This window comes from Homo sapiens, chromosome 3 (genome assembly GCF_000001405.40).
Source record: "Homo sapiens chromosome 3, GRCh38.p14 Primary Assembly".
NCBI classification, from domain to species: Eukaryota; Metazoa; Chordata; class Mammalia; order Primates; family Hominidae; genus Homo; species Homo sapiens.
In genome coordinates, this window is record NC_000003.12 from 17,555,658 (window position 1) to 17,582,433 (window position 26,776).

The 26,776-nt window shown below is 34.8% G+C and overlaps 1 protein-coding gene across 65 annotated transcripts in view, besides 1 other annotated feature; it reads right to left on the bottom strand.

Moving 5' to 3' along the window:
- Positions 1–26,776, bottom strand: part of TBC1D5 (TBC1 domain family member 5) — a 585,470-nt gene that overhangs the window by 398,496 nt on the left and 160,198 nt on the right. For 17 of the 65 annotated variants that reach the window (XM_047449291.1, XM_047449286.1, XM_047449301.1 and 14 more), the window contains one exon: positions 6,362–6,485. The exons of 47 other annotated variants lie outside the window; for them this stretch is intronic. The gene's annotated coding sequence lies outside the window, so the exon portion shown is untranslated. Of the gene's footprint in view, positions 1–6,361; positions 6,486–20,756; positions 20,893–26,776 lie in introns of all 65 variants that reach the window. One more of the 65 variants, XM_047449285.1, reaches the window with a different exon arrangement.
- Positions 18,188–18,277: an enhancer, noted in NCBI's record as "active region_19571". NCBI's record gives its function as "activates an Ori minimal core promoter by ATAC-STARR-seq in GM12878 lymphoblastoid cells {active_cell/tissue: GM12878}" and the evidence as "EXISTENCE:reporter gene assay evidence [ECO:0000049][PMID:35858748]".

Consider the following 26,776-nt stretch of genomic DNA (forward strand, 5'->3'; position numbering starts at 1 on the left):
CCATTTCAAAACATGTTAAATATGGGGTAAAATGCTTTGATTTCTTACAGGGCCTGCTATCTGTCATGTGATGCTATACTACAATCAGGGTGGTATTTGTTATCTTAGTGCTACAAAGAGTCTGTTTTGTCAGTCTTCTAATCTCTATTTTAATGTTAATGCTGCTCAGTTTTGTGCCTGAACTCCAAAGCAAGAAGAGTACAAACAAGCCATGACCGACCTTTCCATTCCTGTCATGGCCTGAGCAAGTTTTTCGGGGTTCTTTGGAATCCCCTTGGACAACAAGAGGATCCATTCAGTTGATTGGGGGCTTAGAATTTTATTTTTGGTTTACATCTCTAACCACTGAAATTGCTGATATTTAATAGTTTGGTTTTTTTTTTGAGACAGGGTCTCGCTCTGTCACCCAGGCAGTGGCGCAATCTCAGCTCCCTGCAACCTCTGCCTCCCAGGTTTAAGTGACTCTCCTGCCTCAGTGTCCCAAGTAGCTGGGACTACAGGTATGTACCACCACACCTGGCTAGTTTTTTTGTATTTTTAGTTAGAGACAGGGTTTCACCATGTTGGCCAAGCTGGTCGTGAACTCTTGACCTCAGGTGATCCACCCGCCTTGGCCTCCCAAAGTGCTGGGATTACAGGCATGAGCCACCGTGCTTAGCCTAGTTTGTTTTTAAGCCTACAAAAAAATAAGAAATTTCTATTGGTTTAAAATTCATTTCCATTTCCTGTATTTTCATCATCATCTTCACCTTTTCATGACTAGTCACTACTCAATCTAGGCTCTCCTCATTGCTTACCACAGACATTACAATAACTACTAAGCCTGCCTCTACACCTTTGGTTTCTCCTCTCGATGCCATCTTACAAGCTAATATCGGAATAATCTCCAAGAGCATAAGGTTTGATTTTGGCATGTCTTATTGCATACCTTTCTGTCTCATCCCTGAAAGCTTAATAGAATGCAACTGATCAAGAGTGACATTTTTAAAAGATAATCTTAAATTAGCTCTGATTTATCAAAAAGGTAACTCATTTTCAAATTTTGATAATATAATTATTTTTATTAACAATTTACTTAGGAAAACTTTCCATAAATGATTGTTATACACTACAGAACCATTAAGAGCATGAAGTTACCATTAGTAACTGCCTTAGAACAATAATTTACATACAGAAGTGAACTATACTCACTGACCACTTCTTTTGTTTTGACAAATACAAACAGAAATAAAAGGATAAAGAAGTAGAAGAAACCCATTTAAGACACTGGCAAACACACATGTAGGAAAAGTCAGAGTAGGAAAAGCCAACGCAAATTTACATTTTTATATTGCTACAAAATTCATGTCACACAACCTAAAGTACCTTCCTCCCTCAACACAAAATAAAAATAAAAAATAAAAACAACTGCTTAACATGAACGAAAAGCATATTAGTGCTGACAAATGTTTAACCGATTGGTCAAGGAGCTGGTATCAATTCTGACTATTTGTTGGTAAATAGAACCAGATATTTATACATCAATAATTGATCATAATAAAAATTAAGAAATTTTCCACGAACAATCTTAGAAACAAGATAGCTATGAAACCTTTGGCTTTATATGGCCTTTCTCCTATGGGAGAAAAAAAACCAAGAGGGATAGGCTCCCTTTTCTCAGAGCTATTTTGCCACACAATAGCTTACATAAAATAACATTCCATTTGGATGTATGTTTTTGAGGATAAGAAGTTTGTGTGCCAATACGTCACTCTTCCAAATAAAAATATAAAGTTTAACAATGCAATTGGCTGCTAACAAGCATTAAAATGGAAATATATTTTGCTTGCTTTCATTGCAACTTCCATTTATGGTCTACCTTCTGGCATTCTTTGTTTTGTTTGTTTTGTTGTTGTTGTTATTGTTGTTTTTGAGACAGGGTCTCACTCTGTCACCCAGGCTGGAGTGTAGTGGCATAGTCACTGCTCACTGCTGCCTCAACCTCCCATGCTCAAGTGATCCTCCCACCTCACCTTCCCTAGTGGCTGGGACAACAGACACATGCAACCATGCCCAATTAATTTTTGTTCTTTGTATCCGAACCAAGCAACAGCCATAGGTAAATTTTTTTTAAATGTTAAAAATTAACATTTTAAAATTTATCAGGACATAAATATCAGAAATTTTAGTAAAACAACCAGGATACAGACACAAAGAAAGACACAGCTACACACCAGAACAAAACAGGGGTATACTGAATTTCTGGGAATGAGTCAATCCTGGCTTTCTGATTACCCAGCACAATCATGTTATGAACACATTAGAAATTTTCATGATGCAAAACCTATCTCTTGTGGATTAGAGTAACCCATATGCATGGTTTACAACAACCAAGTTCTTCTCTCTACCCATATACATATTACCAGAGTACTTTTTCAAGAACCCTTGTTCTACTATAATTCTATTTTATAGCTCCCAAAAACAACAATAAACTATGACATTATAAGAAACGAAAGTCAACTCTAAAATTTAATCCTTAATAAAATCACAATCCTATCCCAAAACCTGAGAGGATTTGCTCTCTGAATGATTTCAACAATTTGTTTACTTAAGGTGCAATGTGACTTTATGTAAATAAGGAAATCTTTATGGAAAACACAAATGTAACCAACTATACAATATAAAATTATCACCTTAAATTACAATTTAATAGTAATAATTGCCAAGACTGTCTAAAAAGCATTTAGGAAAAGCCACTGATTTAATAACATAGTCAATATAAAATGGACATCTATTTTAAAAGTATCCAATAATAATAAATAATAAAATAATTTAAAAGGCCAAAAAAATAATGAATTTCAATGTGATCAAAAACTAATAGTCATGAACAGGTTGAATTCATACAGTTATATATGGGAATATTTTTCAAAAGGTTCTCCCACAAGAAATTATTTATTGTAAATAACAGATTAAATGGGAGTGAGAAAGGTGAGGAAAAACGGGTTGTTCTCAGCTAGGTATTGGCAACATTATTCTGAAAAAGAACTAGACATAGTAAATATCTTAGGCTCTGTGGGCCATACGGTACCTGTTGCAACTACTTAACTTTGCTGTAAACTAATAAGCATCGCTGTGTTACAATAAAACTTTATGGACACAACTGTGAATTTCATATAATGTTCATAAGTCAAGAAATAGCATTCCTACCTTGAATTTTTTAAACTGCTTAAAAACATAAAACCATTCTTGGTTTGTAGGTTGTACAAAAATGGATGCCAGGCCAGATTTGCCTCATAGGCCACATTTTATCAACCCCTGTTCTAAATCACATGTTTAACCACACTCTCAGCCTTCAATCACAAAATAGAAACTAGATCTTTCATTCCCCATATTTTCTGCATCAATTTCCTAAATATTTTACGGTCTATTTTCTATTCTCTTTCTCTTAAATAAATAAATAAATAAATAAATAAATAAATAAGACTTCATTTTTAATAGCTATATAAATGTAAAACTTTTTTTTTTAAGACAATGTCTCGCTCTGTTGCCCAGGCTGGAGTGCAGTGGCATCTCGGTTCCCTGCAACCTCTGCCTCCTAGGTTCAAGCGATTCTCCTGCCTCAGCCTCCCAAGTAGCTGGGATTACAGGCATGGCCACCACACCCAGCTAATTTTTTGCATTTTTGGTAGAGATCGGGTTTCACCATGTTGGCCAGGCTGGTCTCAAACTCCTGACCTCAAGTCATCTGCCCACCTCGGCCTCCCACCAAAATGCTGGTATTACAGGCATGAGCCACTAAGCCCGGCCTAAAACATTTAAATGACAAGGAAAATAAGATAATCTTTACAAATGCCACAGGATATTTGCAAATTTTCCTATGTAAGAGGAGATAAAGATCATGTTCATACATTGTGAGAATGTGGAATTCACATTCACTGACCACAATACAAATCTAGAATTTTTTTTTTTTTGAGGTGGAGTCTTGCACTGTTGCCCTGGCTGGAGTGCAACGGCGCGATCTCGGCTCACTGCAACCTCCACGTCCTGGGTTCAAGCGATTCTCCTGCCTCAGCCTCCCGAGTAGCTGGGATTACAGGCGCCCACGACCATGCCCGGCTAATTTTTTGTATTTTTAGTACAGACGGGGTTTCACTATATTGGCCAGGCTGGTCTCGAACTCCTGACTTCATGATCCGCCCATCTCAGCCTCTCAAAGTGCTGGGATTACAGGCGTGAGCCACCGCGCCCGGCCAAATCTAGAATTTTTTTAATGATAAAAAAGTCCTTATTAGATAATCAAATTGAAACATTTCATTTCTAGTTACTTTATATAACAAAAACACTATATAACATATGATGTGATGAGTTAATGGATGCAGGGTTTGAGAATCAATACCTGCCAACATTTAAAATTTTAAAAAGATACTATGTGCCTCCTGATGAGAAAATACAATGGCACCTATAGTCCTATCTAAGGGATTAAGTTTAAATGCAATCAAACTCTGACTGTACCTGCCAACTTAGAAAAAAATATAGAACAAAATGTTTAACTTCACCATGAAGACAAGATCGACAAAATCCAGACTACAAGGAACTCAGCAGGTCAAACAACTCAGGTACTTCAGTGAATAACATATAAAGAAAAGAAAGGGCTGGAGGGAAAACCTATTGTTTAAGAAAGTCTTCAAAGGCAAATATAGTCCAGACTCAGTGGCTCACCCCTGTAATCCTGTCACTTTGAAAGGACAAGTTGGGAGGATCACTTGAAGCCAGGAGTTCAAGACTAGCCTGGGCAACAAAGTGAGACACCCTGTCTCTAAAAAAATTGAAAAATTAGCCAGCCATGGTGGTATGAATCTGTAGTCCTAGTTAGTCAGGAGGCTTCAGCAGGAGGATCACTTGAGCCCAGGAGTTGAAGGCTGCAGTGAGCTATGATTATGCCACTGCACTCTGACCTGGGCAACAGAGTAAAACCTTGTCTTTAAAAAAAAAAGGGGGGGTGGGGGGCGGACACAGTGGCTCACACCTGTAATCCCAGCACTTTGGGAGGCTGAGGCAGGTGGATCATGAGGTCAGGAGTTCAAGACCAGCCTGACCAACATGGTGAAATCCCATCTCTACTAAAAATACAAAAATTAGCTGGGTGTGGTGGCCCGCGTCTGTAATCCCAGCTACTAGGGAGGCTGAGGCAGGAGAATCACTTGAACCCAGGAGGCAGAGGTTGCAGTGAGCAGAGATTACACCACTGCACTCCAGCCTGGGCGACAGAGCAAGACTCCATCTCAAAAAAAAAAAAGAAAAATAGTTTTTTTAAATGAACATGAACAATACTAAACTATAGTGTCTAGAGACGCACACCTAAGTCACAAAACCATAAAGAAACAGAAATAAATTATTATTCTGAAAGTCAGAAGTTACTTTTGGAGGGAAAAAGAGGGCTGTGATTGGCACAGAACACATGGAAGAGCTTCTGCAGTGGCTGGCAAAGTTCTATTTCTTGACCTAAGTAATAATTACAGGCATGTTTACCTTAAAATAATTCACGAAGACATATATTTGTTTTGAATGGTTTCCTGTATCTGTGATCTATGTTATAATGAAAAGGTTAAAAGCTAATTAAAGCAAATTAATTTCATACACATATCATACATATGATATACTTTTTTACATATATACATAAAAACTTAGAGGGTTCAATCAAAGCTCTAGTAAGAGCAAAAAAATCATAGATTAACACTCTGCTAAATGTAAAACAAAAGAAAATATAACAAATAAATGAGCCAGCACTTATCTTAAGAAGATTATAAAAACAAAATAAACCAAATAAATTAGCAGACAGAGAAGCAAACAAGCTAGTTATTTCCTTCTTTGCAAGCTCAATAAAATAGACTAAATTTTGATAAGTTGACCAAGTGGAAGGCGAAAAAACATAAAGTATTGTTAGTAACAGCAAGAAAAATAATATAATACCAGGCCTCAATAAGATTATTTAAACACTGGAGTGGGAGGGTGAGGAGTATTATGTACAGCTTTAGGCCAACGAATTTGAAGACCTAAATAAAATAAAAAATAAGAAAGGACAAATCTGTTCTAAGAAAGGACAAATTTCCAAAAAGAAAGAAACTGTCCCAGTTCATTTTATGTTGGCATGATCCTAACCCCAAAACATGACAAAGAGAGCACAAGAGGAACGATCTCACAAAACATCACGAACAAGAAGTAATCTTTCCAAAAATGCAAGGGCAGTTAAAGATTAGAAAGTCTATTAACTGATTATGTAAGTCAACTACAGGAAAAAAGACCATACAATGTGTCACTGAATATGGCAAACCTTTGATTAAAAAAAACTTTGTTTCAATTAGCAGAGTATGATGGCACATACCTGTAATCCCAGCTACTTGGGAGGCCTAGAAGGGAGGATCCCCTGAGTCCTTGAGATGGAGGCTACAATGGGCTATGATTGTGCCACTATATTCCAGCCTGGATGACAGAGTGAGACCCCATCTCTAAAAAAAATTTAATTAATTAAATTAAAATAAAAATAAACTAAGCAAACAAAATATAAAACTTCCATTGGTCAATACAGCATTAGGGTGAAAAAAAACCCACAAATAGTATTTATAATGGCAAAACATAAATGGATTTTGACATTTAAAAACAGACACCTAAAGATATTAGCTATTAATGCCAATCCTATTAATTCAACATTGTTAGAGAGATTTTACCCAACCCAATAGGTCAAGTAAAAGAAATTAGAAGTATAAATTTTAAAAGGAAGACAAAATTATAATTTGCACCTAATAGTGTCTATAACTATTCAAGATAATGAAATTAAAAAATTTTTAAATCATAAAATGAGTAAGACTGCATGACTTAAAACAAAAAAAAAAAAGAAAGAAAGATTCCCTATACACTAAACACTGCTCAAAACTTAATATTTACTGTGAGTGATATGCCAGGGACTGTGCTAAACACCAGACAAACCAATACCAACCATAACTAAAATAACCCAGCACAAGGGCAACAACAGTCTTGGTGCATTGTGAAAACCTAGATATAAAAAAATGTGTGACTTGTTTGAAGGACCCAAATGGCAAATCAAGATGCACAACATATTCCTGGATGGGAATGCTCATTATTGGGGATATATAAATTTTCTATAATCAATACATCTAATGCAAATCTAATAAAAATTCCAAAGGGACTGTGAGACAGAAGATGGCAGGAAGATTCTGAAGTCTATGTAGATTGTCTGAGAATACCTACAATTTTTAAAAGAATAATGATATAAAGGGAATAGCCCTGTAATGCAGAAAAACAATAAATCCTCTTACTTAAAAGTGTAAGGTTTGTGTAAAGAGAGACATACAGATCAACGGATTAAAACTAAGTCCTAAACAAATCCGTAAGTATATCACAGTTATGTAAATGATGAGGGGATATTTGTTGATGGATTAGTTATAGTGAGTAAGAGAGAGTTTTCAGGTTGCACAACTGGATAGAAAGATATTCTTGACTAAAATTGGGAATACTAGACAGAGAAGGTCTGAACAAAGGAAGAATATAATAAATTTAATTCTAGACTCGTCAAATTTGAGGATCCATCATGGAATCCAAGAAAAGCGACATCAAATAGTTCGGTATGCGGGCCTGGAGGTCATAACAATAGCCTAGGCTGGATCTGTTAACTTGGGAGTCTTGCATACAAAGTGGTTAACTGAAGTCATAGACACAGACTAGATTACCAAGAAAAGGGTACAGTGAGAAGAGAAAAGCACTAGATCTTGAGGAATACAACACAATGAATCAGGAAAATCAGGAAGGTATAATATCATAGAAGCAAAGGCAAAAATATATTTCAAAACGGAGTAAAGTTAAATTTAAGGTCTGAAAATGTCACCTGGAATTATCAAAGTACATTCTGTATAATATAAGGTTATAGATTCACAATGTGAAGAGTAAAGAATTAAGATTTCAAAACAGTATCTTTAGAAAGGGCTTATAAAATTTTAAAAAGGAAATGAGAGAAGACAAACATATTTTTAAAAAGGAGTCTGGAAGGACATATCCAAGTAAGAAACAATGGTCATCACTGGGGAAAGAATTACTGGTGGTTTGTTGTTGTTGTTTTTGTTTTTTGTTTTTTGTTTTTTTGGTTTTTTTTGAGACGGAGTCTCCCTCTGTTGCCCAGGCTGGAGTGCAGTGGCTTGATCTCAGCTCTCTGCAAGCTCCGCCTCCTGGCTTCACGCCATTCTCCTGCCTCAGCCTCCCGAGTAGCTGGGACTACAAGCGCCCGCCACCATGCCTGGCTAATTTTTTGTATTTTTAGTAGAGACGGGGTTTCACCGTGTTAGCCAGGATGGTCTCGATCTCCTGACCTTGTGATCCGCCCGCCTTGGCCTCCCAAAGTGCTGGGATTACAGGCATGAGCCACCGTGCCCGGCCTTACAGGTGATTTTTAACTTCATACATTTCTGTATTGTTTGACTATTTTAGCAAAAACATGGAGTACTTATACATTAACAAAAAATAAAGATAGTTTAAACTGGAAAAGCAAATTGGAGGAAAAAAACGACCTCCCCAGACATTACTTTATAAAAATATTTTTATCATTACTTAAAAGTTGAAAAACTTTACAGGGCTCCTCACAGATCCACTGCATTCTCTTTCATGATAGCCATACCCTATAAAGTGAAATACTTTTATTCATTTTTTAACCAGCATTTATTATGCATCTACTATGAATCAAATCATTGGCTGAAAACATTGGAGGCAAAAATATAAATAAATTACTACCCCCCTTAAGCTTCATGGGCCTACAGTTTTATCAAAAAGACATGTAAACAATTATAATTCAACATGATTAGTGTACAAAGTGACAATGAATGTACAAGCTAAAATATTTTATGAAAGAAATAAATTTGAACTGATTCTTGAAGAAAGAAGGAGGTAGGAGTTCCAGGCAAGGAACTTCTAATATATTTAGAATCTGCATTCACCCATCCTACCCACCATGCTAGTTGATGCCCTATGTATGCCCCACCACTACTGCTGAGGATCTCATCAAATCCTCACCTCTCTCTTAAGTAGTCAGCATAGACAAATGGCTATCTTTTTTTCCTATATGTTAAAAACAAATCAGCATCCAGACATCAAATCATGATGACCTGAACATCCTGCTTACAGATTATTTTTAATTTTGAACCTGTCACAATGCACAGTAGTACCATGAGTGGGAAAAAAAGAAGAAAAAAATAAAATGAGCCCAAAAATCAACATCATATATTCATTTTTGTTGTGCTTTTGCTCAATTATATTAGAAAAAAATGAAAGTTGAGAACTCTAAACTTAGGTTTTTCTACTAGAAAACAAAAAACAAAAAACCTCTGTTCTTTAATGTTTGGAATAATTAGTATGTAGTTGTTATTGTCCCAGTACTTATTACTCCTAAAACCTGTTCTGGGGAAACTTATGTGTCTGAGGAACTGCATTTAATGGAACCTATTAACTTTTTTAAGACACTGTCTAAAAACATTGATTGTATATCACTAGGAGGTCAATCCTACAATCATCTTTTCCCAAATGGTCACTACTCCAAAGCACATTAGCTGTTCATTCAGTAACAGTTTTTGAGTACTATGTTTAAAGTCCTTAAGGAGTATCAGTTAATTATGTTCGTTGAAAGCAGTATTAAGTAGTAAGACTAATTCATCAATCATTACATTTTCCTAAATATTTTTCATATATTGCTATTTTAAGAAAAGAAAGACCATAACAATTACAGAAAAAGTAATCAGTACTACAATTTTCTTTGGAAAAGGTAAATATATACATGGCTGGCTATTGAAATAAAAGTCTTTCCAAAGGGCAAAGTGATATGCCAGGAGCTGAAAAGAATCAACTGCAAAGAAAACCTCATTTCTATTTTCAATTGCTGTTTCTGTTGACAACAACAAATAGTTTTTTATTTATTTACTGCCTCAGATACAACAGCACAACCAATGTATATGATATTTCGCATGCTTTAACAAAAAGAAATAATCTCCTCATTCCTTTATAAAGGATAACTTTTCGAATTAGAGTAATTTACATGCTTTTAGTGTTCTTCTTTTGAAAATTAGTGCATGTTACATTTGAAAAACTTTGCCAAAGGAAATATAGTCCCACATTTTCACAAAGGGAAGAAATGTTAAAAATTCAAACTTTGAAGCTAAGGTTACAGGTATTCTAAATGAAAAATAATTTTTTCCTCCACTAGTCTCTTTAATTACTATAACTATACTGCCGTATCCTTCCTATATTATAACATTATAGCACAATATTTGAGATTGCTTTTTAAGCACTCAGTATTCTACGGAGGAAAATCATGAAACTAAAGCCACATTAAAGTGACAATTTCCTCATTCAGTAGAGAAAAAAAATCACTTAGTTCTTTCCTGAACAAATCAAACAGTTTTAAAGACACTGTAATATATAGTGATAAAAATCTCAATTCTGTAACATAGATAAGCTTAAGTGCTTAATATATTCAGTTATGTGAGCATTTTGTACACACTAAGAGTTCATGGATTACACATCTAACAGTCTGCTGTGAACATGTGGAATTATGCACTTACGTTAAAATATCACCCCACCACAAAGAATTATTAATAGTTTTGACACCAAGAGGCAGATTTTATTTCTAAAAACTGATAAGTAGGGACAAACTAAAATACAAAAACAAGACAAGACAAAACACAACTAACAAAAACAAAGCTGCTTACTGAAGGTAACAGGTAACAGAAGGCCACAGTTTTGAAGATCTGATACACAGGAATCAGGGATCCCCGTCTGGAGCAAATCTTGAAATTAATAAAAGTAGGCCCTTCTGTTTACTTTTTGCTATAAAACACTGATCATCAATTTCAAAATAAGAATCTTAAGAGTTAATAAATAGTAACACAAACCAAAGCTAATGATATTAAGGATTCCAATAAATTTTAAATAAACTACCTGCAACTAAAAGCCTAAAATTTTAAGCCCTCCTTTTCTCCCTTTTCCTCTCCTCTGTTTTACTGTCTGTATCCCTTCACAAATATATGCATATATACATAAATAAAATTTATTCCTTTTAGAAAGCTGAGAAGGTAACCAGAAAAATTAATAAAATCTTGAATAAACAAACTTAGAAGGCCTTTCTATTTAGTTGACATTTACTTTTTGAATATGGAAATTCTGTTGTTCAACTTCACTAGACACTAGAGATTGCTCTTAGAATATTTTGGTAAACAAGAACCTAGTCCTTCTGTTAAATTCAAAAGTCAGGAAAGGAATGTCTTTGATATACATAACTAAATCACCATCTTATTATTTTCCTATCCTAAATCATAATTTTGTATACATACATAAAACATTCCCTATGCCTACATTTTTACCAATAAATGACATTTTGCTTCCCTAACATTGTCCTACCAAAATACACTAAACTTCATACCAATTATATGATTTGGTAATACATATTCCTTAAATATAAAGATGCCTCAAGTAAATCATTTTGTTTCTAAATAGACATCTCTCATCTCAGACTTTTTATGCTCAATATTTCTTAAGAGTCCACAAAAGAATAATTACCAAAATTAGTGAAATGTTTCACAGTCCTTATTTGGGAGAATAACCTGACTAAAGCAGACCACTCACTAATAAAGTGCAACTTAATAAATCATGTGGAATCTTATTTTGTTCAAACCCTTACTAACTCCTAGCACCATCTGTTACCATCAAAACTATATGACAAGATATGATATATAATTAATAGGTAAACAACAATCTAATTAAAATGGACAAATACTCCATGTTCCTGCCATTTGGGAGCTCTAATTACAGACTAAATTTTAAGCTTGAATTAAATATTTAAGCTGGAAAATTAACTTTCCTTCTCGATCCTTGAATACATTAATACAGATATGTGAAGCGACTTCCTGATGGGAACTTAAACATGTAATTTAGCTTCATCAAAGCAGTTACTAATTGTTAAGCAGCAGTACCTTACCATATGTACACAATAGCTATTTAGAGCTGAAAAGGTGGTTCTAAAGCACCCCTCTGCAACCCTTTCCTGACATAAATATAAAATGTATATACAGCGCAGCAGTTAATACTACACATTGAAAATAAATTACCTAGTCTTCAGTCTTTGATGCTTTCTGAAGACAATTAGAAATTGTTCTAAATAAACAAAATATACCTATATATGACAAGGTAAGAACCACACAAGTATAAAAGACCAAAAGATATTCAAGAATAAGCATCCAGGTATAAAATTCTCAGGCTACACAAAACTAATTAAAAACCCTGACCTACTAAATCAAAACAACAAGAGTATACTAATTCTGCTTTCCTTCCAAACTCTTCTCTTCAGAGAGCATCACAAGCTTTGATAATAATGTTCTAGCAAGCATTTAGAATGGCAACGTAAAAGGTGAACACCCTCCTACCTTTTTCATTTGTTTTTGAATGTAGGAGGAATAATATTTTAGAACAAATGACCCTAACAGGCAACTGTTTAGGAAAAATTCTCTAAGAATATAAAATATATATATATTTTCACTACCAATTTATATTTAGTAAATGAATGACAGAGAGGTTGCTAGAAAGGTATATATTACTCTTTAAAAATAGATTATTCTAATTCTTTATAACCATAAAGACTAACTGCAGGTCAACCACATTAACATAGTTTGGTTAAAAAAAGAGAACATTGTCAAAGAGGTGGTGGAAACTGCTTTTGTTTATATATTAAATATTATTTTGTTAAGCATTCAGTAGTATAACCATTAAATTTTACTAATAAAAGAACTAATTTTTATAATTTCACAGTAAAACTAGGATATTGCACTGGTTAAGATTCAAAGTCAATGACAAATATATAAGTTGATTATACTAAATCTCCCTTATTTGAAATTTTTACCAGAATTTAAGTAATTAAAATTTAAATCTTAAGAAGATCTTTTAAGAATAAAAAGGAACTTTTTGTTCTGTATTGGCAATAGGCAACATATTTAATATTTTATAATTCATTACTATTGTTCTAGGTTTTTGCTCAAGGATAACATATATAATATTAACATATAACATTATATATTGCCTATTTTCTTCTCCCAATATTTCCTTTTATCTCTTCTTTCGATCTTAAAATTGCCCAAGTTTTACTCATGTTTAAATGTTTACTCATGTAGCTATACAGCATTTGGTATTCCTAATAAACTACTGCTCCACAACTATCTGAATGTTGATGCATTTTAATTTCAAAAAAGTCACGGATCTGCCCTGCATACCACATAAGATGTGCTTTTACTCTTCATTAATTGACAAAATACACAGGTATATGGGTTTAAAGATGCCTTGTAATTACCCTAATGTTTCATAAAGATTTGTAGCCATACACTGGCAAATACCCACAAAAAGAGAACAAGGGCACTCTCTGAATAACCTCTTGAAGTAAATATTTATTTTCATGTTATCCTACATCATCTAAAAATCTGCAAACAGAGAATAATCAGCAAATATCACTGAAAGATAAAAACCCAATCCTAAAAGATTTGATAGACATACAAAATCTGGCTGGTTCACATTTAAGCATCATGGTTCTTTTCTAATATTAAATCAGTCGACTGGATGATAACAGAAGTTCCTCCATAATGTAGGCTAGAAAAGTCTATTCAATTTTATTTAAAATCTGTATGCTATAAAAGTACATGTCATGGAATTTACTAGGATGCAACTATATAGATATGAAATTCATGACATATTGATTCAACATATTGAACTGGTTTTTAAAACCAATTTATATAAATGATTATAATAGCCTATATTATGTTTAGCCCATGAGGCATATGGTAGTAAATTTGAATTTAATTTTAAATAAATTTACATAAATATAAAAAGTTAAGTAATTTTTATCCACCCTGCATATGAAACAGAGCAAATAAAAAAACAAGAGGACTGTATATTATAAATGCACTTGAGCCTGAAGCTCAAATCAGAAATCCAACTTTATTTCTTAAAAAGGAACCAAGGGATGACTGGTTTTTGTTAGGAAAAAAGAAAAACATCATTGACAGAGAAAGTACTACTGATTATTAGGCAATATATATTTATATATTTGTAAATATATAAATACATGTTATAAATGTTTATTTAGCAATAAATATCATTTTCATCTACTATATATTCTAAAAAACTTAATGCATCAAAAAAGCTAGCAGTGACATATGGTATACATATATTCACATCAAATTATCAATTAAGACATATATACAGTCTCTTCACTTTGGAGAACTTATAAGCAATTTACAAAATGAAAATATTTTAAAAGGTACATCAAAAGTGTTTTTTACAGGTACTAGAAAGTCAGAGGTTCCACCATTGGTATGAGAATGGTCTCAACTTTCCATCAGTAGAGCTCAAGCTGTGACTCTCAGAGACTTAGCCAGTATGAAACATACAGACTCTGTAAGTGGAGGCCTTGACCTTACCTTATCCCAAGTTCCATCCAGTAAGTTAACTGGCCCATACATCCAGAAATTTTAAAAATAGTAAGCAAGAACCAAGATACAATATATAAATTTGAAGTGTATGGTTTCAGTATTATCAGAAGCATTGTCAAATGCCTATCATTTCCCAGCAGCTTGACAGATTTTTTTTTCCCCTAACACTCAAAACAATTTACAAACTAGGCATCATTCCCACTTCACAGATGAGGAAACCATGGCTCACAGATTAAGTAACTTGCCTAACGTCACACAACTATAACTCAGATCTCTAACTAGAAAACCTGTTTATAACACTATTTTCTACATTTTATTCTGAAATTTTTCAAACTTTCAGAAAAGTTACAAGAATGTTACAGTGAATATTCACATACCCACTACCTAGATTCTACAATTGACATTTTACTGTATGTATTGTATCACTTACCTATCTACATCTACTAGACCATCCTATTTTTAATGCATTTCAAAGTTGCAGATGTTATTCTACCTTTTCAGTATTTTATTATATTTTCAAATATACAGAAAAGGTGAAAAAAATTACATTATACACTCATGTCTATCATCTAGAATCTTCAATTACATTTTATTGTACTGCAGTATCATAATGTCGATACAGTTGTTCATCCTTCCATCATTCCATCTTATTACATTATTGTAATTATTAAAGTTATTGTTGCAACCTCTAAGTCCCCTCTACAAAGAGAGAACTGCAAAAAAGTTGTTTACATGTATTTAATACTGCTACATTTCCTTAATCAGTTAAAGTTATGTTTGGATATACAGGTTTTCGAGGTGTTTCACCTCTCTAATGTTTCTATCAGGTGACTTTTAGAGACACAAACAGATCCTTCAGGAGAGGGCAACATGCTTGACTCAAAAGAGTTGAGAAATACAAAAGCATTAAAATATTTTCTTAGGCTATAAGAGAAATTGAGAAAAATAACACATAAAAAAACAAAATCCTAGGAAAAAAATTTGCATTCCCTTACAATGAATAGATTTAGTCAATCAAGAAACTTGATTATTACAAGTGACTCTGAAACTTAACTTTACAGAAAAGTTATACTACAAAAACTAAGCAACTACAATACCTTTGTACTTTGTCATGGTATTTATGGCTGTGATTCTATGATGCATACCTATAATTGTCATTTTGTGCTGCTAACATTTTATTCTCAATTCACACGATTGGATTTCAAAATACCACTATTTTGTGCAGCTCGGCTATTAATCTTAAACTAATATACCACTTTATCATCACAATTCTCTCTACCCTTAAGTTCTCGTATTCCTGAACTCTCAGTACAAATACTTTCAAGTGAATTGAAAAAATCGAGTTCTTTGACTTCATTTAAATCTCTTATTCTCCTTCTTGTTTCATTTCCTTTCTTATCAATCTTAGACTCTATGAGCTACTATTTCAACTAATATCTCACCAGTCCATTGCTCTCTCTTTCTCTGTGTTAATCAAGTCCTGAAAACCTTCCAACACTCACAATCTCACACACCTTCTCTTACTCTACACCTAATTTCCTGAAGGCAGAATATTGGACCAACAAGAATTCCTTCCATCTTTGATCCTTTCACCCAACTAAAACACATACATCCACTGTGACAGCCAAGGAGATGTACTACTCAAGAGACAAAATGCTGTGAGGAATTACAGTCAGCTGACAATATACAGCTTTCACACTTTCAGGATTCACTGTAGTGTTTAAGCCAAGGTCATACTCTCTCCATACATCTTACAAGGCCATGCAGCTCCCAGACAATGACAGGGATGCTGCAGGAAAAACCATTCCTGCCAACACAAGGCATCTCTAATAAGCAAAATTTGCTCTGCCTACTGCATTATGCCCTCACCATTGTCTCGGTTGGGACTTTTTGAAAACAGCATTGCAGTCTGAGGTTCCTCCTCTCCAATCTGTCTTCCTTACTTCTCTCTTATCACAGGTGTTGAACCTACATGAGTCTGAAGGCTTTCCCTGCTTATTCCTGCTCTCTCTCTCTCTCACCCTCCTAAGATTATCCCCCAAGAAATCTCTTAAGCTTCTAATTCCATATTGGCATCTGCCTCCTGGGAGATCTGAATTATCATGTCAAATCCACACTTTTCATATTTCTTGCATTCTCAGTTAAAAAAAAAAAAGAGCCCTCCTCCTGTACAAACTAATCCCTCCACTAGGAAGTCCAAACCTTTTCCATCTTTTCATATACATTGCTCCAAACTTAACCACTTTAACTTACTTTCTCTCCTATAACATCAACCTCTCTCTCTCTCCCTTCTGGGCCTTTTTCACCAATATATAAACACTTTGACGTCTCTCCTAAATCAAGAACAACAAACCTCTGCTGCTCTGTGTCTCCCTCTGACAGTCAGCTCTTCAGATAATAGTAACATAGTACCTTTCACTGATACTCTATAATGCTTCATGTCCCATTTATATATCAACTACCCTGTGGGCTGATTTTTGCTTCAAATCACTCCACTCCAATTGCTTACCAAGGCACATTACATAGAGATGTCAAATTCGACGACCACTTTTGGCACTTCACTTCTGACCCCTCTATTTATCACACTGTCGTGTTGTTGTCTCCAGCTCTGCATTCAGGCATATCATTATTCACTGTTTCCTTCCTTCATCTCTTGGACAAGTTTCTCTTTTCCCATCACTTGGCTTGATAGCAGTCAATTTATCCAAGGACTTCTCCTTATCTCTACCTATAATCCCTGGGCAACCTTAGATACCCATCAAATACACTTATTCATCTTTGTTCTATCAATGCCAAACACAATGCTTGGGAAATGCTTAGCAAATAATTTTTAAATAAGTTCATGCCAGCGTTTATGTTAGTGATTCCATGTACATATCTCTTACAGTAACTCATCTCCTGGCCTTGAGAGATCCATACATTCAACCATCTCCTATCTTTAATCAACAGGATGTCCAAACAGAAGTCATCCTCTACCCTTTCAAACCGCTCCTCTTGTATTCTCTTGTAGGGATGGCATTATCAACCAACCTCTCCCGCAGGTCAAATGCCAGTATTTCCTTTCCGGTCTTCTCAGATGCAACCAACTGCTAGATATGATCAATTTAGTCCCTTCTTCTCCCTTACCTCTGACTCTGACTTAATTTAGTGTGAAGTCTCCTTGTAAGTATCTGGGCTCTTGAATTTTGCCTCTCATCTTAATTGCTAAATTTCACATAAGTGTTCTTTCTAACAATCTGATCTCACCTCTCCTTGGCTTAAATTCCTGTAGTAGATCACAATGCCTAGCACTGCAATTTGAAACTATTTCTATTTTTCATTCTTCTTTCCTCTTACAGGAAAAAAGAAAAAAAAAGCCCAAATTTCTGGTATAACCCACAAGACTCTTCAAAAATCTATAGGCTTTCTATTTATAGCCTCAGGTCTCATTCTTACTCAATTTGCAAACTCAAACTACTTGCAGTTCCTCAATACACTTTAGGTTTGTAGCCATTTCTGGGCCACCCCAGGCAGTATTTCCCTCCACCTAGAGTGTCTTTTTTCAACATTCTTCATATACATTCGGCCTGCACACTCTCAGGGAAGTTTCCTTGAAACTATCCTCCATCCCAACCTCCAAGCTGGTTTAAGAACCCTTCTTCTGAGGTACACTGTTTCCCATGCATTAATCTATCACATAATTCATCACACTAGATGTTAATTTTTTAACTACCACTCTTTCCTCTATAAACTACAAGCTCCTATTGGAAAGAATCATATTTTAACTCTGTTGATCCAGTACCGAGAACACTGCCACAGTACGTAAAAAGTACTTCATGGAAAGAAGTTTAAAAAGGAAGGGGAAAAGAGAGCCCTTTAGTATCTCAATAAATTTGTAAATTACTTTACAAAATAAATGTAATTTCTGCTTGGTCGCTCTCACCTCTGTCTTTAATGCAGAATGAAAGGCCTCTCTAAGCTGTACTCCCAGAACTTTGCTGGGAATCATCCTGAAATACCTCACATGTTCCTGAAAAAGACCAATCAGCTAACACTCACCTACCATGGCACATCTATCCTTGTGCATCTCTGTGTGGTATTTAAAGTCTGCTCCTTCCATTGCCTCCAAATTAAGCTTGGGAGGGCCTCATCTGTTCCCCCGTTGAGGAATCTGTTGCCCTCTCTGCTTTGTACTGTTGATTATAATAGGTCACTACTGTCACCAACAGGGCACCATTGCAGCTTCTTCAATATATCCCCACTCCCACTGAACCCAACCTCCCCTCTGCTCTAAAGACTGCTTTACCAAGTAGCACTGCTATCAACCATGATGCCCCAACACCTTTCCAACACTGTTAGCACAGTGGAGTCTGCAAAATGACAGTTAATTCGTGGACTGTGGCAAAGAAGACAGAATCCCTTTGCCTTAGTCTCTCAGAGAGTGGAAGGGCCATGTTGCTTGTCTCTAAGCATCTTATAATACATCTCCTGATTCTCTTGTTCTTTCGGATTTATTTTCTCATAGTCCAGCCATCTATCTCCGCAAGTATAAGATTTCTGGACCAGAAAACAAAACAGACCTCAGGCTGAATTTAGAAATGCTGCTTTGCTAACAACTGAGACTGTGTCACCAGGTTTGCCACTTCATTCTTGATTTTTCATAGGAAAAACTCACTTCTGTTCCTATATATCAAAGACTACTGGCAGGCCAACCCTACTGGCTTCCATATCCCAGATAAGGCTGAATTGCTACAGGAACAACAAGTGAGGACCACACTGAAAACATGCTACCCAGAAAGAGCCTTAAACATTACCATAAAAGACAGAAATATTTAAACACAAAACACCCTAGGTTGTTCCATATTTCTCATATTTAATATACTCCATTAAAAATTTCCAATGTCCCAGGTGCAATAGCTCAGGCCTGTAATCTCAACACTTTGGGAGGCCAAGGCAGGAGGACTGCTTGAGCCCAGGAGATCTGAGACTAGCCTAGGCAATATTCTGAGACCCCATCTCTACAAAAAAATTTTTTTAATTAGATGGGCATAGTGATGTGTACCTGTAGTGGGGGCTGAGGTGGGAGGATGGTTTGAGACCTGGAGGTTGATGCTGCAGTGAGCCTTAATCACACCATGCACTCCAGTCTTGGCGACAGAGTGAATATTGCCTCAAAAAAAAAAAAATAAAATAAAAATTCTGAATTACATATGCCATTCAAAATACCTTTTCCATTTAGAAATTCAAGCCTCCCTTTCTTGGAAAAAGTTCACAAATAACATTTTTACCTGAATTTTGGTTTGATTAGGCCAACAGTGTCATACCACCTACCCCATAGTATTTCAGGGGCTAGAAGGCACTCTAGGTTCACCACTGGTAGGCACATCACCTCTACTGGCATTCCAAAAGCCACTTCCAGATAAACACAAGGAAAGGGATGGCTGAAAAGATGAACAGCAGGAAATAACCTGCCTGGCTGGGAATTATTAGTAAGGTTATCCCTATGATGGGGAGGATTCGTTCTTTATGTCATGAGAACATAAGAAAAGGACATTAACTTTTCTTGCAAGGTCTGTACTCAGTTCAGAATTTACTTTGGAGGGTAATATGTACCAACAAACTATGAATGTAAATAAGACAGAGAATGAACTAAAAGAAAATAATGCAAATTCTCTAAAAATATAAGCAACATTTAAACTAAATGTATGGTGAATATCAACATCACTGGTACTTCAATTTCATTCAAAAATTGATATACATTTAGAAATTAAATTCTTGGCTTTGTAAACATAATGAATATGCAAATATTTTAGGTTAATATATTTTTCCCATCAAGTGCTTTATGCAAGAAATTTTTCCTCAAAGTTCCATTACTGACAAATTCCAAAATGTTCAGTTACTAAGAATAGAACTCTTTATTTTTCCTCATTTATTTTGATACTCTTAGCCATCCCTTAAATTGCCTATTCTTGGATTTTAATATCCAATCCTCCTAGAATTTTTACATTTTGATGAAGAAAAAGGAAACACGTACACGTGTTTAAGATTGTATTGCTTTTAAATTGATCTCTACAAGAAATACACCTCAATCTTAAAAAAATGATGGGGGTTGAGAGGTGATGGAGGTTTTAAGAGCATGAAGGAAGTAAGAACAGCCAAGAAGTGAGGCAGTAAAGTACAGATTTCGGTCAATTCTAAGCACTGGATAATTTTAATCTAGAAAGAAGGTCTTAATTCAGTTATAACTATAATATTTAAAATAGCACAATGTACCTTAATAGAGAATCTGGATAGTAGCATTTTTGAAACAAGCAACAACAGAAAAAAAAAATCCTCTCCTTATGTTGCATTTATTCAATTTGTGGGCTCCTGCTGCAGGTGGTCCCTGAGACAATATCATAGAAGATTTCTAAAACAAAATGGATAAATATGGCCATTTATTTAAAATCCAGGTAGTTTTTCAACACTGTATTTCTATTCATAGGGCCCAATTATCTATAAGGTATACAAGGGTATAAGACAAGCTATTATGATTGATTGACTGATTTGTTTTTTAAGAAAAATAGTAGCACGTGTATACACAAAATGAATCTTGTCTCCCTTCAAAGTACCCATTTTGAGCAGTTAGACATCAATTCCACTACAGAAATTTCAAAAACAGGCATTCCAAAAGTACTTTGATTGATGGAATATGTGTACGTCTTCCCAAGGGGAACACTTAAAAAGAAATAACACAAATTTTGAGAAATAAGCTGTGATATATTTGTTAAAAATTTACCTCACTAATTTATAATCACATGTAATATAGGAAAAAAACTGTAAAAGACACAAATTTCTCTGAACAAATTTTCATTTGAAATTTACACATTTAAAGGGAATTTTTTCTTGCCACTGAATAATAAGAAAAATGAAAGTGGTAGGTAAGTATTATAAAGTCAAGAGTAAAAGGCTATTATATGTACAACCCATTGAAAGTGGGGGTGGGGAGGGGAACTACACCTACAGTAAGCCCTCTATCACAGACATTGAAGGCAGTCTTTAAAGTCTGCATATAAAAATTTCTTGAGTTTTACAAAGCTTTACTTTAAGCTGTAGTGTCTGCAAAAAGCGATTCCAACTAATAAACAGCAATTCACCAAAAATGCAAAAGCAAACTACTATCAATTTACATCTTAGTACTTTAAAGACAGTAACATTTACTCTGATCAGTGCAGTGTTTTGAAACAGATATAATTAAAAACTAACTTTTAACTTGGAATTACTGTATCAGTGCAGATCTAGGTAAACATCCACACAAGCATTTTTAAATATATACTGTCTTCAACTCATCTTAATCTCAACAACTCTTTCCACCTTTGTATTTAGAAATTTTTAAAAACTTATCTGAACAAATTAATTTTCATTTGAAATTTATACATTTAAAATGAATCTTTTCCTGCCATTCAATAATAAGAAAAATGAAAGTGGGAGGAATAGGTAGGTAAGTATCATAAAGCCAAGAATAAAAGGTTATTATATTCACTACCCTTTGAGAATTAAATTTTTAAAAATTTCTAAATACAAGGCATGTAATTTTACTTTTTGCTTATTTATTATGAAAGAGGTATAAAACAAATACTCTGACCATAAACCCTGAATGTTCAATGCCTTCAACCAAACTACTGCAATTAATATGAAATTCTAAATACAGAATAAAATGCCACATAAATAGTATAACAGCCAAGTACTGTCTAAGAAGCCATATGTTTTTTCCCATTGTTCAAAAAAAGGAGATGACTTCCCGTCACTTATGTTTCTGATTAGCAAGGTGATTTATGCCACAATCACTAAAAATGCCAGCAAGTGAATGAGAAAATGCATAGTGACTGCACCAGATGTGCACAATAAACAGGAAACCCATTGTAATCTCTGGTACTTAGTTTATATGAAGGTAATGTAGGAAACACTCTTGGATATGGCAAAGTCACTCTTTTTTTACATTTGACTATAAATGATATGAAATAAATTGTGTGTTTTATACTTTATGGCATGCATACATTGATAAATTAAGTACCGTTTTGTATCCCGACTTATCTACAAGACAAACCTGGCTAAGATCATGGGGATTAATTGCTTCAGAAGTGTGAAATGCAGCTTTTCCATTCTTTTCTGCACACTCAGTGAAGAAACAATGATTAATCACTGTTTAACTATTCTCTTGGGAATCTACAAGATTGCCAAAGCAGGACTTATCCTCATAAATCCAAAAAATACAGGTTTAGATTTGTTGCCAACAACTGAAAGAACATGAACTTAAACCCATTTGTTATCAGATTAAAATAATGTCAAGGTTTTAGAACCCTACTGGTACACAATTCCCTTTAATCGGTGACTTCAATGGGAAATTAGATTAACACATAAGACATAGTGAAAGCACATGTATTTTACAAAATAAACATTTTTTAAAACTTAGAAAATATCCTTGGCCTAATGTCAAACATCATACTCTTGAACTTGAGCTGACAATCTCCCCTAGCTATAGAAATACTTCATTTCCTCTGTTCTATTTTAAGAATTAAAATACATGCTCATCAGGTAAAAAACATTTTAAATGCATATTTCACATAGGAAATAATGACTTATTTCAGTAAGTTTTATTCCATGTTGCTAGAGCTGAATGGCAATTATGTGGGTAAAACTATTTGGTTCCAATAATGCTAACATATTTCTAAGTCTTTAGAAGACAGAAATTGTGAACTCCAAACTTCTAAGCCTAAATAATCCAAAACCCTGAAATATTTTGAACAGAAGTACATAAGAGCAGAGGTTTCAAATATATTCCAAATAATTTGGGTTTTCAAAGAATCTTCAGCCACTGTTTACTAGTATACTGAATAAAGTAAGTAATTCTTAAGTTGAGGCAAAATTATTGTTCATACCACTTATAAAATGTGGGGCACATACTTTTAAGAATTGAAATCTTATTCTGTCTCATTAATAAGTATAATGTTAGTGGCATAATTGTCAAATCATTACAAATTAAAAAGTTTTTTTTAATTCCCTTTAAATGGGTCAGTTGTTCACACTACAAACTAGTACAAACCCAAATACTCCTGAAGTGGGTGTAACCTGAAGTAAAAATTTCAAATTTCTTTGTAAAATAGAAATATTTGACAAATGTGTTTTACACAGGTGAATGTAAATTAGAAATACAGCCATCTTTCAATTATTATGGGTTAATTTTCTATTTGTCTGATCGTATGTTCATATAATCCTCCCTTCCAATTTGTCAATCTTCCTGCTGCTTCTTTCAGGTGTACTAAGTGCCACAAGAGACTACCAGAACTGCAAGGAAAAGGAGGTGAAACTGTTGGTCAATTTCACTGTTCATTAAGCCCTTGTAAAAATGAGTAAGAGGAAGAGAAGGTGAAACAAATTTTGTATTTCCTACACTTCACTATTTTTATCACTGTTTATCACAAAAGTGGCAGCTATGTCTACTGCACATATAGTGAAAACCTAAAAACATTCACAATTTGACCAAAAAAAAAGAATTTTCCTCACATCATCCAATTTAAAAAGCAAACCTTCTTATAAAGGATACATTATTTTAAAAGTAATTCTCCAGTTAGCTGAGTACCTGCCATAAGTAAAACCACAGAAAGCAAAACCACAGATAAGAGGGAACTACTGTTATCACTACAGAGAGCTGGGAACTTGAGCAAGAATGGGTAAGAAGGGCAACACTGTTGAGAGAGACAGCAGAGATCACATTATACCAATAGGAAAATGTGAGAATTCTTCTAATGCCATTATTGTATCCCATATTTATCAAGTGTGCTCCGGGGCTGATGTGACCAGGAGAAATATGAATCATAAAGAACAATAGACACTTGGCATCCGTAGATTTTTTACAATTACAATTTCACCCTTGTTCAAGCAATCCAGGCCATGAAGTACTTTATCATTTTCTGTTAAGTGAATTTGAACCATAAACTCCCCAACCTGGTATAAGAAAGGATTTTGATGGCCCTGTTTCTACTATTAACTGCAGCTTGATGGTTCTCCAGAGCATTTTACAGAAATATTTACAAACTTGAAACTTTAAAAAAAATCAACAGGCATATAATTCATAAATGCCTACTGTATGCCTTAATTCCATTAACAGAATTTTTTTTTAACCACAGAATTCCTAAACTAGGAAACACCATACATTTACATTGTTAAAGAAAAAAACCACAAAGGAGAACTACAGAAGAAGCCTAAAGAAGTGGGAAGCAAGTAATCATGATGCTTCTTGTATGTAATATATCCTGGAGATAGTACAAAGATCAACCAAATGCTTTTTAACAATGGATCTGTGCCGATATGCTCCGCCTTCCTTCTTATTAAGAATAAACCATCCATGCTGCTACTTAAGGTGATCTCTCTACTTGTACACACTGCTTTAACAATTTTCCACTCTTTCTTGCATCATCAGTTTATTCCTCTCTATTGGAGCACTCCCATTAGTATGCTATTTCTCTCCTATTTAAAAAAATCCTCTCTTCACTCCAACTTCCCCCTTAAGCTGCCACCTGTTTCTCCTCCCACTCTCCCTTGAATTGTCCATCTTTAACTTCACCTATAAATAAGATTTCCCCTCTTCCTTCAAACATTTACATCACTTTCAGATATTCTGAAAGACCAATGAGTTTTCCTCTTAACCTCACTGTGTTTTCTTCTCTAGCCACCTCTACTAATTCCTCTTTTTCTCCTAACCCCTTTACTAAAGGTGCCCCAAGGCTAGCATTTTAAGTCTTCTCTATCTATATTTACTGTACTGCATCAATGTTACATCTTGATATGGTTTGGCTGTGCCCCCACCTAAATCTCATCCTGAACTGTAACTCCCATAATCCCCACGTGTCGTGGGAGGGACCTGGTGGGAAGTAACTGAATCATGGGGGAGGGTTTTCCCCATGCTGTTCTCGTGATAGTGAGTAAGTCTCATGAGATCTCATGGTTTCATAAAGGACAGTTCCCCTGCACACACTCTCTTGCCTGTGCCATGTAACACAGGTCTTTGCTCCTCCTTTGCCTTCCGCCATGATTGTGAGACCTCCCTGGCCATGTGAACTGTGAGTCCATTAAACCACTTTTTCTTTATAAATTACCTAGTCTCAAGTATTTCTTCATAGCAGTATGAAAATGGACTAATATATACCTTTAAATACCATCTACAATTAACAACTTCCACAGTTTTTCCTTCATCTCAGACCTCTTTACTGAATTCTGGACCAATGTGTCTAACTGCCTCCTTGACCTCTCTACCAGATAGACATCTCCAACTTATATTCAAAACAAAACTCCTGATCTTCTCCCAGAAATGTACTCCTTTTATAATATAATTTTCCCCTTCTTCATTAAATGAAGCTCTCTATCTTTTCTGTTATTCAGGCCAAACACTCTTGGAGTCATTCTTGACTCATCTCTTTCTTGCATAACTCAAATCCAATCCATTAGCAAATACTGTTACTCAAACCAAAATTATGTCTCACCTGGAATCTTCTACATGATCTCTCTGCTTCTGCCCTCGCTCCCTTAAAATCTATTCTCAAGCTGGCAGCCAGTATTTCTTTTAAACTACAAAGCAGATGATGACACTCACTAATGGATCCCCATCTCATTCAAAATGAAATCTAAATATAAATCCTTAAAAGACCTAGATTCTCAGTTACATCTCTACTACTCTCTACTCACTTTGCTGCAGCCACACTGACCTTGAGGCTGTTCTGTGAATGCATCATAAATATTCCTGCCTCAGGACCTTCGTACTTCGTGATCCTTCACCTCACTCTCTCACCTCCTTCAGGTCTTTACTCACATGTTACCTTATCGGTGAGGCTTTCCTTGACCACTCTATCTAAAATTTCCATTCTTCTCCCTATACTCCAAACTCTCTATCTCCCACTGGCTGCTTTATTTTCCTTCACAGAATCACTATCTAAGGTAATACATATTTTATTTATTTATGCTGCTACTTATCAACCTCTCCACCCTGGAATGTAAGCTTAATCAAGTTAAGGATTTGTCTCCATTTTGTTTTCACTGTGATAGCTCCTAAAACAGTTCTCAATGAGTAAGACTGGCTTCAAATTTCTCAGGAGGAATAATGGATAGTAGAAAAAATTAAAGCAAAGCTTTCAAAGTTGAGAGGAAAATCACTTTAAACTATAAACATATACCTAGCTAAATCATCAATCAACTGTGAAAATAAAATAGAAAATTTTTCTAACATACACAACTCAGAAAATTCATCTCCCATTTAGCCT